The 15029-nt window shown below is 37.6% G+C and overlaps 2 long non-coding RNA genes across 12 annotated transcripts in view; one reads left to right on the forward strand and one right to left on the reverse strand.

Moving 5' to 3' along the window:
• Nucleotides 1–308, reverse strand: part of LINC02281 (long intergenic non-protein coding RNA 2281) — a 30070-nt gene extending 29762 nt beyond the window's left edge. The window contains exon 1 of the long non-coding RNA NR_187181.1: nucleotides 229–308. This is a non-coding gene — a long non-coding RNA (long intergenic non-protein coding RNA 2281). The remainder of the gene's footprint in view (nucleotides 1–228) is intronic.
• An 81-nt stretch (nucleotides 309–389) lies between these two features.
• LINC02327 (long intergenic non-protein coding RNA 2327) overlaps nucleotides 390–15029 on the forward strand; it is a 138162-nt gene continuing 123522 nt past the window's right edge. For 5 of the 11 annotated variants that reach the window (NR_184194.1, NR_184190.1, NR_184191.1 and 2 more), the window contains exons 1-3: nucleotides 390–657; nucleotides 2161–2215; nucleotides 7408–7485. This is a non-coding gene — a long non-coding RNA (long intergenic non-protein coding RNA 2327). Of the gene's footprint in view, nucleotides 658–2160; nucleotides 2216–4951; nucleotides 5060–7407; nucleotides 7486–11958; nucleotides 13744–15029 lie in introns of those variants that run through there. The other 6 variants (NR_184196.1, NR_184197.1, NR_184195.1 and 3 more) reach the window with 6 other exon arrangements.

Below are 15029 nucleotides of genomic sequence, written 5' to 3' on the forward strand. Positions count from 1 at the left end.
GGGACTATAGGCCCGGCCACCACAACCAGCTAATTTTTTTTTTTTTTTTTTTTTTTTTTTTAGTAGAGACGGGGTTTCACCATGTTAGTCAGGATGGTCTCTATCTCCTGACCTCGCGATCCGCCCGCTTCGGCCTCCCAAAGTGCTGGGATTACAGGTGTGAGCCACTGTGCCCGGCTGAAAGCCTGATATATCTTTCTACCATAGCAAGAACTAGCAGCACCTTACCCAGTATGAGACCGACCCAGGTCTGCCTTAATATATATACCGTAATATATACCTAACAGTTTTTTTTTTTTTTTTGAGAGGGAGTCTCGCTCTGTCGCCCAGGCTGGAGTGCAGTATCGCGATATCGGTTCGCTGCAAGCTCCGCCTCCCGGGGTCACGTCATTCTCCTGCCTCAGCTTCCGGAGCAGCTGGGACTGCTGGCGCCCGCCACTACGCTCGGCTAATTTTTTTGTGTTTTTAGTAGAGACGGGCTTTCACCGTGTTGGCCTAGCGGTTCTCCAACTCCTGACCTCATGATCCCCCCGCCTCAGCCTCCCAAAGTGCTGGGATTACAAGCGTGAGCCACCGCGACCCGCCAACACTCTTGACAACAGTGCTGTGCTAAGAACTTGGGGGACTTCAAAAAGTTCACCAGTTCCTGTGTCCATGGTAGGTAAACATTTTTAAAAGTACCTTTTTATTTATCTTTTCATATATTTATTTCGCTCTATCGTAACAATAAGCTGTATACTTCATATGTACAAGTCAGTTGCCTTTTGGTCTGATTTTCAGACTAATAGAGTCATATCAGATTCTTACCTTATGATATTGCTCAGGAAGATTAGCTGAAGTTCAAGGCAAGAGCAACTTAAGTAGGACAGATCTTTGAAAGATTTTTCAAAATCCGTAGGAACAATAACTCAAGTAAGGTAAATCTCTATAAAATTCTAGAAGATGTGTGTCTATAATTTAGGAGGCCAAAGACATTTTTAAGAGAAGGAAATAAAACTCTGTAGCTTGAAGTTTGGAAGCCTCAGGAAAAAAGCCTATAATTTCAATGGGATTTCTTAATAATAGTATTTTAGAGAACAAGTTTACAGCTACCTTTAGACAACATGAAAGAAGCTCACAAGTAATCTCCCAGGAGATGACATTGAATAGATTGGGACACCAAGGAAGATACTTAACTTTAACGAGTTTAAGTATCATACATATTTACTTTTAAGGTGTTCATTTCTTTAAAACAATGTGATGAAAATATAACATAATAGGAATGTATGTCCTATTTTAGAAGTAGGGCAAAGCAGGCTGTTTAATACAAAATTGTGAGTGAGATAATTTGAAGCTAAGAAAACATAAATACAGTATGAGCCCACATACCATGAAAAGGTAACAAATAGGGAAGGGAAACAGCGGGGAAAACCCCAGAGCATTTAATCTTATTTTATGGTGGCATTCATGTACTGAAAAGAGTGAAAGAACAGCCCCCACACTTCCAGAAATGAGTCAGTTTCATGTCTCAAGCTGATTATAAACCATTCAAGGGCGGCAGCCTCCCACAGCTGACTTTAACTGTGATTAGAATAGAGGATGGTCGTTAGTTTGGGCATGCCATATGTGCCCTGAAGTCTCAAAGCCTGATCATCAGGTAAACTTGAAGTTTCTCTAGGACCAGCTTACAAATAACTTCATATATGTATCCTGAAAAAGACAGCTCATCAACAGGCCGGTCACATATGCTTAAACCATACTCCAAACCATTTGGCATGCACTAGAGCAATTTTACAAGTTTAGAAACTCCATCTTAATTTTAAACCACTTCAGTTCTCCAATCCTTTTCCCATCACAAAGAAAAGTATTCCATCTGATGAACGTAGGTCATACTGTTTCGTACAAATCCCCAGATTCTTGTGAGAATCAGAATTTTTATCAAACAGTATGGATTCAGGACCGCTTATGGTCTGAAAGAGGAAAAAAAAGTCCTAGTTAACGTTATTGTCTTTGATTACAAAGCCCCGAGTGGAGGTGCTTGTAAAAATCATTTTTTCTTATTTTTTTCTTCTTTAATAACACAAGGGATTTAATACTTAGAGAAATCCTTTTAATCCTTTCATTTGAACAGAAGTTTATTTATAATACCTATAATAAAGCATTTAAAATTTCTGTTTGCAGGGTGAAAAGATTTTCTACATCTTTCCTTGACTAGAAACAGAAGTCCTGAAACAAGGTATTCCCAGTCATGTTGCGCATTTTCAAGTATTTAGATGCAGCTATGAAATAACTTTTTAAATTCTGTGGTGAAGTTTGATTAAAATAATTATGATAGTATCAGAACCACAAGATAGTAAGTGTGTTCTCTCTTAGCTGGCAGACAATTAAAAACTATATACGGGATGTTTTTATATTAGGTATATCCCAGTATATACAACAGATTACTAAAATTATAAATTGTAGATTTGAAACATTGCAGACTGTGATTAAAGAAAAAAACTTCCTCTTCACAAAGTTATCATCTTATTTAAAACAAAATGTGGAAACATTTCCCAGTATAATTTATGACTACTTCATATTAACAAACAAATACACTTACTTATTTGTGGAATATTCATTGAAAAAATGGAATGTTGAATTTAAGATAAATAGAAGTTAGTATTTTAAATAATTATCTTTTTCCTGAGCTCAATTTAACCTGTTAAACCTCATTTAAAATTGATACATTTAAAATAATTCTAATGGAGGATTTGGAAAGAAAAATCCTTTCCCTCCCACACTTACAGAAGTGCAAACCAAATTAAAAGAGCATGTAACCCAAAGTTGCATAGTGATATATTCAAAAGGAAATTTCAAAATTTGAAGATGTGGATCATAATACAGGAGTTATATGTGTTCATTTTTCACAGTATGTCCTTAGCTTTGCTCTCAGATAGACAGATTTTAAAAGTAAGCTGAATTATTAAGGCTCCAGGATGCTTCCCACTCCTACCTCCACTATCATGACAATAATGAAATCTACTCCAATACAAATTCGCATTCCATTTTCTTTTAGGATGTTTATGGCAAAATTAAATTTTAACTTACTTTTCATGTGAAGTAAAAAGTAAGAATGGTCACTATGCCACTTCATTTTTCTTCCAAAGAAAAACAAATACAGCACATAATTAATCCAGGACAAGTAATCCAGGATTAACATAAGTGGCACTACACATTTCTGAAATGTCCTCCAAACTAAAGGTTTATAATGAGTGAGACAAGAAATTATAATTCACTCTATCAAAAATCTGAAGAGGGAGGGAATATTTTTGCTATGCACAAGCTGAATCAAGTTAATGAGGCATCTAACATTGCAAAAAGAACGTTGTCTATAAATAAATTCAGTCTGATTGGGATGTATTAGTTGTCTGATAATATTCTGTAGCCTACAGATGCTTTGGGTGGAATGTAGATTTCTTAAAAGAGAAAGGCCAATGGAATTACTTCAGCAAAGCTCCAGGTCATTTTCTTTAAATGGCATTAAAAGAAAATGTCCCTTTAAAATATTTTGCAATCACAACAATATTTTCAAAGTAATACATTTAGCATAAGACAAAATATGCTCATCAGCTGAAATCCACCGGAACTTTAGAATTTGGAAAAAATATCTTCTCACTCACTCATATTTTTTTTCCATTGAAATCTGTGTCTTAAGGTACTACTCATGGGCAACATACCTAAACTCTAGAGAATAGGAAGAACATGCACTTAGAATCTCTGCTGTTGCTCAGCCTAGACCTAAACCTAGTACATGTACTTATGCTTATTGTTTATGGGAGGGCTAGACTTTTATTAATGAGTACAAGTTATTTCTGACTAGTTACCAGATGTTCCTACAGAGTGGTGAGAATATAATTGTTCCAATCAAATTTAAAGTTCAGGTTAATGGAACTTGTTTTTTTAATAGGATTGTAGAATCTAGAAGTGGAATACATTTTATATTGTCTATTCTGTTACCTCCTCCTTAGAGAACTCTTAATTTGCTCATTTACTCAAATTTATAATAGCTCTAAAGATATGTCTCCTTTAAATCATTTTCCATATATTCAGCATAAAATTACTTTCATCATTTTTATCCCTCTGAAATTAGTTTTAAATGTAAACTGTATGAATCTTTACTGACAAAAGCTCCAAGAGTAGAGAAAGGTATGAAGTGAAATTAGAAGTACTCCCTTTTCTACACACCTAACCCATCTCCTAAAATTTTCAACTATTAACATTTTCTTGTGTATTATGTCAGAAATATTTTCAGGATTCTGTGAATTCTCAAGGAGCTTATTCTCATGATCATTTCCTCACATCCTGTTTTCCCTAAATTAGTTTCCATGCCTCATTTTCCCAGGCTTCCCTGTGTTTTAGAATGAGTCATTGTAGGTAAAGGTTGGCTGGTTATGTCTCTGCCTACATGAAATCGGGGGACGTATGTATCAACTCTTGGAATTCTCCCTTAATTTTACCGACAGATTTTACAGGTTTTTGACTTGCAGTTCTGGGAGTTTTATGGACTTTATAGATGATATTGTTTTTCTATCATTTTATTATTTTTGTTTGTTTTATATTAGTGTCAGACTGGGGAGTAGAATAATATCTTCATATTGACATCTTACACTTAATAATTACCTTTATTCTCTTAGATAAAAGTTTGCTAAATTACACATTTTTGTTGTTCAGAAGTTCTCTCTGGCCACACTCAATTCACCTACTCTTTTCTGTCTTCAGATTCTTTGCAAATAGAATCCCGGATCTTAGGGTTGAAAGATGTTTTTAAAGTATATAATCCAGCTTTCAACTGATGAAGAAATCCTTCCTGTGATATTCTCCATAACTGTTTTCTATTCTCTGTTGGACAACATCAAGTGATGAGAAATGCACTACTTCATGACATGTGCATTTTATTGTCGGCTTCTCAATAACTACCTCTTATTGCTCCTAGGTACACCTTCTTGAGGCTTACTTGGTGAGTCTAATTTGTCTTCTGGCACCACTGTGAATTTGAAGGCTTACGTCTTCTTCCCTGATCATATGTTTTCTACATGTCAGGGTAAAACATTTCTATTTCTTTTAAACATTTGTCAAATGTAATAGCTGTCTATCCCTTCATGATTTCAATTCATTCAACAAATCCTTCATTGAGTAGCTACTGTTTGAATGGTCTATGCTAGGTGTTAGGTCTATAATGACTATATAGACTAAAAACCCATCTTGGTCACTAACAGTTTCCACCTTCCGGTCTAATGCAAGGGGCTCAGCAGAGTGTAAAGCAGCATAACATGTTTATTTAAATATTATGAGAATAAATAGGATTGCGGCCAAATACATTTATTGTCAGACTGACTATTTCAATGGCTTCTGTTTCTATTTAGAACAAAAATCCAAATTTCTTTTGATGATCTATTAATTCCTGTTTGATATGGCCTTTGCCACCTTCTACAACCTCATCTCTTACTGTTCTTATGCCCCTACTACACTTTGGGACTATTAGCCTTCTGTAAATTCTTCTAACAAGCCAGCTTTTTCTTGACTTGAGGCCTTTGCATGTGCTCTTTCTTTTGCCTAGAACACCTTGAATTTGCTGAGGGTTTAATGCATATTTGTTGAATGAAGGAAAGAATCAATCAATTTAAACATAATTTCCTCCCTTTAAATCCAGAACTTCGCAGAACTTTTAGTATGTAACTAGACAAGCTAAATTTCTAAGAGAATGATACAGTATGTAATGACTCCCAGATTTATTTAACCATAGTTTTTTTCATGCAAATCTCTAAGGACAAATTTATCATGTACAGACTTTAGGAATTATGGCAGAGCAAAAATCACATTTGAATCCTGGCTGCCACCAACTAATTGATGTAATCTTGGGCAAGACACTTAATCTCTCACAATCTCATGTTTGTGCCTCTGACAGAGATCAGCAGAATCTACTTTTATTTTTCCAGGTTTCTGGAAAAAATAATAAAATAAGTGCCAGATAGAAATTAAAACATTTTATTTCTAATGAATGTCAGTGGGAGGACAGAGCTTAGTGTGAAAGATAAATGAACCTGCAAACTGGACCCCAGAGACAGGTATTGATGGACTATTTCAGGCTGTGCACAGTTTTTTCATTTATGAAGTATTCTATCTGTGGCTGGAGAAAATTGCCCATGGGAAACTCCAGCCCAAGTGAAACATTTTATACCATCGCAAGAAAGGAAACTTACTAAAGGGGAAGAGACATTCTATTCTAAGTTTCTCATGTGTACAATGTTGAAACTACCCTATTATACCTGTTCTAAAGAGTAAATAATCTATGTGGAGGACCTGGAATACTTAACAGAGGCTACTTTGTAAGCATCAGTTCCTCTTCCTTCTGATTTTACACATTCAAATACCTCTCTAGGTAGAATTTCAAGAACTGGAAGCCTTTAAACTAAGTCCCTCTCATCAAATACTGAATCTGAACAAGTCTTACAGAAAATAGGTTAGAAGCCATTACTAAATTTAAGTGTGCTGTCCAGAATTTTGTAGTTTTCCATATATATATGGCATATATATGGCATCTGACCTCTCTAATGTACACCCTAGGCACCAAAGTTCCAACTAATAAACAGCTTTTTCTCACCTTCCTTGGGTTTACCCAATTTAGACAATTAACTTTCTGTCTTTATATCTTGTTTAGCACATGTTTTCCATTCTAAAATTTGTCCTGGTATATTTGTTATTTAATGTGGTCTTGATCTTCTTAATCTCCATATCTTTAGATAGTTAGAAAATAGTTTTGAGGAAGAGATGACATAATTCAACTGTGATGTTTAAGTGATAACTGGAAAAGTGGTAGCTGGTAGATGCTGATGGTGAGTAGTAGGTCTCCGTTCAAGTTATCTCTTCAGAAAGGCATTTATGACCATCCTATCTAAAATAGCTCTACGTCTTAAATCACAGTCTACCTGCATGCTCTGTTTTCTTTTCTTTTTAAGAAGATATTCTCTGCCAGGCGTGGTGGCTCACACCTGTAATCTCAACACTTTGGGAGGCCAAGGCGGGTGGATCACCTGAGGTCGGGAGTTCGAGACCAGCTTGGCCGACATAGTGAAACCCTAATATCTACTAAAAATACAAAAATTAGCCGGGTCTGGTGATGGGAGCTTGTCATCTCAGCTACTCGGGAGGCTGAGGCAGGAGAATCACTTGAATTTGGGAGGCAGAGGTTGCAGTGAGCTGAGATGGCACCACTGCACTCCAGCCTGGGCGACAATAGTGAAACTCTGTCCAAAAAAAAACAACAACAACAAAAACAACAAAAAAGAAGAAGATAATCTCAAGAAACATATTTTATTTGCTTTAATTTTTATATCATAATCTGAGAATATATTATTGATTCGTTTGCTTATTTATTATCTCCTGTTATAGAATATAACGTCAGGAGGCCAGAGGCTTTGTCCTGCCTAATGTGTTATTTCCACACTGAATAAAAGCACCTGAGTCCTGGTAAGTGCTCATATGATTGGCTCAATAAAAGAATAATAAATGAATTGGAAAGAGGAGACAGTGAAGGATATAGGAGATGTACCTGATAGCAACTTACTGCCTCTCAGCTCAAAATTCACCCTTCAAAACCTTTTCTACACCAATGGATAGAATTCCTGTCAGCATTTCTCTTTTACGTTGAACACAATGTTAAGCTTCCTCAGTGAAGGACCCTAGATGGACATTGCAGGAAGAAGGGACTTCCCCTGTTGGACCTAGAGGTTGTACCAGCATTGTAGGTGGGAGGACATCCACTGGCTCTTTGCAATAGCCATGTGTCCATAAAGTATAGTTTCTCAGCAATCTCATTGCCCAGTCTAGGCTTGGCAATCACCCTCCTGCAGCCTTATCAACACATTGCTCGAGGCCTCAAGCCCACATGGCATCCTCTCACTCTGTATGTCCTCATACCTGACTGATTCGTCTGTGCCTCATGTGTTTGCTTCCTGCTTGCCTAGTAACTATAGATCAGTTCTGTCTTTGGGAAATCAGAAAACTTCTGTGCCTTCCATTGGGATGCTTCTATGCCTTCTCCAGTAAAGTGTGAAGTGTATTTTTGTGGATAGAGCTCCTTTCCATGCTTTTCCTTATTTTGGTCCTCTCCGTCAGGCCTAGGGAGACTTACGGTATTTTTTAAAATCTTACAGTTACTCCTTTGTCATACCTCAGTAATTATTTATGTTAAACTTATGTTTAAATCACTGCAGGCATTTTTTTTTTTCTGAGACAGGGTCTGGCTCTGTCATCCAGGCTGGTATGCAGTGGCTTCAGTCATAGCTCACATTAGCCTCCAACTCCTAGACTCAAGGGATCCTCCTGCCTCAGTTTCCCAAGTAGCTGGGACCACAGGCATGCACCACAGCATCCAGCTAAATTATTATTATTTTTTGTAGAAATAGAGTCACACTATGTTGTCCATCCTGCCTTGTACTCCTGGACTCAAGCAATCCTCCCATCTTAGGCTCCCAAAGTGCTTGGATTACAGATGTGAGCCACCACCCCTGGCTGTTGTTTTAATCTCCTGAATACATCCAAACTGATTCACATTTGGTATCAGAAGTGGTTGGGTTGCAAGAGGTAGATCTTTGAAAACGGCATTTTGAGATTGTTTGGCCATGCCCTTGAGCTTTAGCATGGTGCTGAGCTTCCTTTGCCAATGGGAAATGGGTGCAATGTCATCACAGTTACTTAAGCTACTAGCTGTGGATTGACATAAAACACCAACTGAAGCACATGCTTTGGGAATTCAAGTGGTTATTAAACATGACCAAATGGCAGGACTGAATCTGATAATGACAGGAATGTGGGATGAAATTTTGTTTTGTGTGCACTTGAGTGCTTATAGAGTAAACACCAATCCCAAATCCATTATTTTTCAGCTTAAATCACAGCCTGAGAACTAGAATGCTTTAATGATATTTATAAAAGCATCTTATTTCTTATAGCCACAGGACTGATATTGGTGAAAACCAAACACAAAATTTAATTGTGTGCAAAGTTACATTGTTAAATTATAACGATAGGTAAATCTACACTATTGTTAACTTTCTCATGTAAAAGTTAGAACATTGACAGGAAAAGAATGGGATTCCAACATCTGCAATGGGGACATTTGGTTGGAACCAAATGAAACTGACAATCTTGAATCCACATGCCATTCCGAGCCTCTCTTATCAGTGAAAGTGGCTTGTCCTCTGGGGTCCAAGGAGACTGGCTTTTTCCTGCTTGAAAAGCCATGTGGTAACCACACTTAGATGCCCTGGGAGGGAATGCTTATTCTCTTCAAGATTGTTTCATAAGATTTCCATTTCACTCAGGCATTAATATAGTGAGAGGAGTACCTACAGCCTTGAAAAGCTTTGTGCTTGGTCTCATTTTTAGACCCAATATGACTGGAAGGAATTTCAACATTGGGATGGGCTCCCTAATTTTAATGGGGATGATGTGAGCCCAGAATAGCTAAGCCTAAGGGGCCACACAGTTGTCAAAGACAAGATGTGGATGTCAGCTAATAAAGGGCAGCAGAGACTTACAAAAAAATTAAAATGTCTTTGCCCATAGAAATCTTTGGTAGTGACTAATTGATCACAGAGTTCCTAGGAAATAAATAGATAGGCATCCTATCAGACTATTTCTTGAGCTATGTAATGGGAAAGACTCTAAGTCTGGTATCCAAACATCTGATTTGAGTTGTCATAGTTTTCTCACCCAGTTTCAAGAAAGAAGTCAGTTCACAGATTCAGAAGCCCTTAATTGAAAGATAAGCCAAGCTCCCTTTGAGGAAGGACCCTGCACCACTGCTACAAGTACATACTGTAAATCTCCCTCCAAGTTTTCTCCAAAGGGATCAGCAGCAAATATCCCTTTAGAAAACTCAAATGTTACATATTTGAAGAACCAGAGGACAGAGTTTAGGGCAACCATGGCTACTGGAAAGTAAGGAGAGAATGTACTAGAAAGAAAGCAGCTGGAGAGGGTAACCCCAAATCAAATTTTGCATAAAATTTGCATAAATCTTTGGCTGATCCAAGCACAAGGCAAATTCCAAGCAAAATGAGACATGATTAAAGGGAGAAATAGACAATTTCATAATCATAGGTAGAGATTTTAACTCTCTCTCAGCAATTGATAAAACAGACAAACATCAGTAAAGACCTAGAGAATTGGAACAACACTATCAATTGCCTTTATCTAATTGGTACAAAACAGGGGCGTAATACCCATTCTTACTACTGTAGAGAATATGTTCACCAAGGCAGACCCAATGCTAGGATATAAAAAAAAGTGTTAATAAACTGAAAAGGATAAAAATCTTACAAAGTATGTAAATAACGAACTATGTAAGCATAGTGCCTAGAACATTTTGGTACTTAATTTTAAAAAATCTGTTGATTGAGTGAATTTATGCATGAATAGATCAGGGATCTTGGTTATGTTAATTAACCTTTTGGCACAATATAAAGACACAATATAAACTGTGGGAGATTTGGTAATAGCAGCCATGCAGTGGATGGTATGAAGTGATGCCAAGATCCCCCTTCTGGAATGAAGGTCTTACTCCCTCTGCTGCTATAAGCGCTGCCAGGAAAAAAAAAAAAATCTCTCAAGAGATCACCTCCACTGTAGAGAGTACTCTTGTTCAAATTCTGATAAACTCAATGACTACTTGAAGTGACTATTTGGGTGTAAAGATCCAAACCCTTCACCTTGTCTCAGAATAATTCTGATGGGTCATCGAGCTTCAGAATTCCCTGTAGTTTTCACTGAGGCTTCCATTTAGACTCCATTAGAATTCAGTTTCTCCCACTGATCAATTCTACTTGCTTCCATTGCCTTCTGCAGTGTGGTTACCAAGAGTACTCCTAATGAACCTTTTGTGCACTAATCTCCATCTCTTTCTTTTTTCTTTTTCTTTTCTTTTTTTTTTTTTTTTTTTTGAGATGGAGTCCCGCTCCCACCCAGGCTAGAGTGCAGTGGCACAATCTCAGCTCAATGCAAGCTCCACCTCCCGGGTTCACACCATTCTCCTGCCTCAGCCTCCCGAATAGCTGGGACTACAGGTGCCTGCCACCATGCCCAGCTAATTTTTTTGTATTTTTAATAGAGACGGGGTTTCACTGTGTTAGCCAGGATGGTCTCGGTCTCTTGACCTCGTGATCCGCCCCCCTCAGCCTCCCAAAGTGCTGGGATTACAGATGTGAGCCCCCGCACCCAGCCACTAATCTCCATCTCTTTCTAGAGACAACTTGCAACAAACCCTTAAAGAGAAAAGTGCTAATTGACAGAATTAATGTATCTTCTTGTGAATTATCTTCCACTTTCCTAGCCATTATGTTGTTGTTATTATTGTTGTAAATTCTTTGCTTCTGCTCTAGATCCTTGAAGTTACCAAAGAATCTTCTGAGCAAGCCTTGCTCTATTGGTTTTCGATCATTGCCATAACAAATTACCACAAATTTAATGGATTAAAACAGTATACATTTATCACCTCACAGTTCCATAGGTCAGAGGTCTGGTGGGCTCAACCAATTTCTTTGATTTCACAAAGCCGAAATCAAGGTAGAAGTCACTCTGGGTTCTTAGCTGGAGACTCTTTCCACTAAGAATCAAATTCCAAGCTCATTTGGGATGTTGGCAGAATTCAGTTCTTTGTGTTTCTAGTAATGAAGTACTGTTTCCTTGCTGGCTATCAGCAGGAAGTGTCTTCTTAAGGCTACCAGCATTCCTTGTCATGTTTCCTTCTCCATCTTCATATTCTGATTTGTCCTGCTGCATCTCCTCTGACTTTAGCCAGAGTAAGTTCTTTACTTTTAAGGACTCATGTGATTAGATTTGACCTACTGGAGTAATTTAGGATAATCTCTCTGTCGAAGTCTGTAACCTTAATTACATCTGAAAAAAATTTCTTTTGCATGTAAATTAACATTTTCACAGGTTCTGGAGATTGGGGCATGATATCTTCCTTGGGCCATTACTTGTCCTGCCACTTGGAATAGGTGCTTATAAGCCACCTCTAAGATAATGAATAACTTGCAATTTGATCCGTGATTTACATAACGTGTATGTTTTTCCTGTTTGCAAAGGCATATGGCAAGGGAGTAAAGCCAAACTTTTTACCACATGGCAAAAATAATTGTATTTTGCAACAGACTAAAAGCTTAATGCTATACAGACTTTGGGTTGGTGGAGTTACTTGAGGATTTACTCCAGCAAAACAAAAAAAAGAATGAAAGAAAGAGAAAGATAAAAATATGAAAGAAGCAACAGACCTATTCCAGAAATGTAATGAAAAAAGGCCACGAAGTTTGACAACTATGTATTAAATTTACAATCAGTCCAAATTAGACTGGTAGTCAGATTGATATGAGAAGTACATTTTCAAAAAGATGTACTATACCAAATAATATGAGTGCAAAACTCTGGATGATTTTAGTAATAATGTGAAGACACATATTTCTTTTGACAATTAAAAAAAAGAAAATGAATTGGAAACTTCAGGAAACGTCAGAAAATACAAAATGCTCTGTAGGAAGTAATTGTCTAAATGAGAGGTGAAGCCAGTGGGACTTCCTGGATTGGATGGGGACTTGGAGAACTTTTCTGTCTAGCTAAAGGATTGTAAACACACCAATCAGTGCTCTGTGTCTAGCTAAAGGATCGCAAATGCACCAATCAGCACTCTGTAAAAATTCTGTGTCTAGCTAAAGGTTTGTAAATGCACCAATCAGCAATCTGTTAGAATGCACCAATCAGTGCTCTGTGTCTAGCTAAAGGTTTGTAGATGCACCAATCAGCACTCTGTAAAAACGCATCAATCAGCGTTCTGTGTCTAGCTAAAGGTTTGTAGACACATCAATCAGCACTCAGTAAAAACGCACCAATCAGCACTCTGTAAAATGGACCAGTCAGCGCTCTGTAAAATGGACCAATCAGCAGGATGTGGGCGGAGCCAATAAGGGAATAAAAGCTGGCCACCAGAGCCAGCCAGTGGCAACCTGCTTGGGTCCCCTTCCACCCTGTGGAAGCTTTATTCTTTTGCCCTTCACAATAAATCTTGCTGCTGCTTACTCTTTGGGTCTACATTACCTTTATGAGCTGTATCGCTCACCATGAGGGTCTGCGGCTTCACTCCTGAGGTCAGCGAGACCACGAACCCACTGGGAGGAACAAACAACTCCAGAAGCACAACCTTTAAGAGCTGTAACACTCACTGTGAAGGTCTGTGGCTTCACTCCTGAAGTCAGCGAGACCACGAACCCACCAGAAGGAAGAAACTCCGGACACATCTGAAATCTGAAGAAACAAACTCTGGACACACCATCTTTAAGAACTGTAACACTCACTGCGAGGGTCCCCGACTTCATTCTTAAAGTCAGTGAGACCAAGAACCCACTGGAAGGAACCAATTCTGGGCACATAAATATGCAGCAAAATACAATATGGTATGATTTTGAGCAATTGATGAATATGTAGAAAAATTATTCAATCCTGATGTTTGAAATATGCTACTTTGAGTAGCAGCCTTGTAGTGACCTAAATGTATTTCTGTAGATAAAATTGAACTATGTGGTACTATAGTGAATAATGTGTGTTACAATATAATAGCATGCACAATTGTATATATGAAGTTTAGAACACTTCTACATTTTAATATCTGTAATATGATTATACTCATATATGTGTACTCAGATTTTAAAACATAATAAAATATAAATGTTATTATTGTCTTTCTAGGAAGATGGTGAGGTTTTTTTTTTTTTTTTTTTTTTCAGTCTCACTCCGTCACCCAGACTGGAGTGCGGTGGCATGATCTCAGCTCAATGCAACCTCTGCCTCCTGCGTTCAAGTGAGTCTCATGCCTCACCCTCCCTATTAGCTGGGATTACAGGTGTGTACCACGACACCCGTCTAATTTTTTGGTATTTTTAGTAGAGACGGGGTTTCACCATGTTGGTCAGGCTGGTTTCAAACTCCTGGCCTCATGTGATCCATCCATCTTGGCCTCCCAAAGTGCTGGGATTACAGGCAGGGGCCACCGCATCTGGCCGATTGTGAGAATTTGAATAGGCCACTGAAATAGATAAACTTTAATAAAACTGATAAACTAAAAACAAATTATTTAGAGTCTGTTCAATGTCAGAATCAAGAATACAGAGGATGAAAACACAGAGCATAAGTTAAGGAATTTACCTGGTACTAATTCTGGTAGGGACTTTGCTTTGAAAGCCTCAGATTTCTAGATTGAAACTCCAATTAGAGTAAAGAAATATTTTGGTTAGTATGAAAAAGTGTTGATAAAATTAAAATAACATTATTGTGTGAGTTAAAATGACCACAGAATTATCAGTATCTGATTTAGGAATGAGAGGAAATTGCTTGTGCATGAACTCTCCTTGGGTGATCGTATAAGCCACTTGGCACATGAGTGTATGGGATTAGGAAGGTCAAGAAAAGGGCAATCTCATTTGCTTCAGTTGAAGTTGGAAATGGATCATGTTGGTGAATGAGATAAACACTAGTATTTAAAAAAAAGAAAAATAAATTCATTTTAAAACCCCTTTATTGAATTATTTTTAAAGTATTCATGGCACTAACCATTTTTCCTTTTTTTCTTTTGACTTATAACTTTTCTAAAACAAGAAGCAATAATTTCAAATGAAAAAGTTTCTGTTTGCAATAGAGGAAATATACCACAGTCTGTTTGGTACAGTGGTATGTACTGTTGACATAAATCAGTGCAACTTCATTCTTTGAAACAAAAAGCCCTGATGGTATTTCTCAATACAGGTTAAGAATTCTTAATTTAAAATCTGAAATATGGCCCACATAGCATATTACGGATTTACTAGCCTCCGTAATAGTGTGAACCAATTCCTTATAATACTCTTACACACATACACACACAGACACACACAAACCCACACATATATCCTGTTGGTCCTGTTTCTCTCGAGAACTCTGTTTAATACAGAAGGTCATATAGGTTCTTGACTAGAAGACAATTC

The sequence above is a fragment of the Homo sapiens genome, chromosome 14 (assembly GCF_000001405.40).
Source record: "Homo sapiens chromosome 14, GRCh38.p14 Primary Assembly".
Classification (NCBI taxonomy): domain Eukaryota; kingdom Metazoa; phylum Chordata; class Mammalia; order Primates; family Hominidae; genus Homo; species Homo sapiens.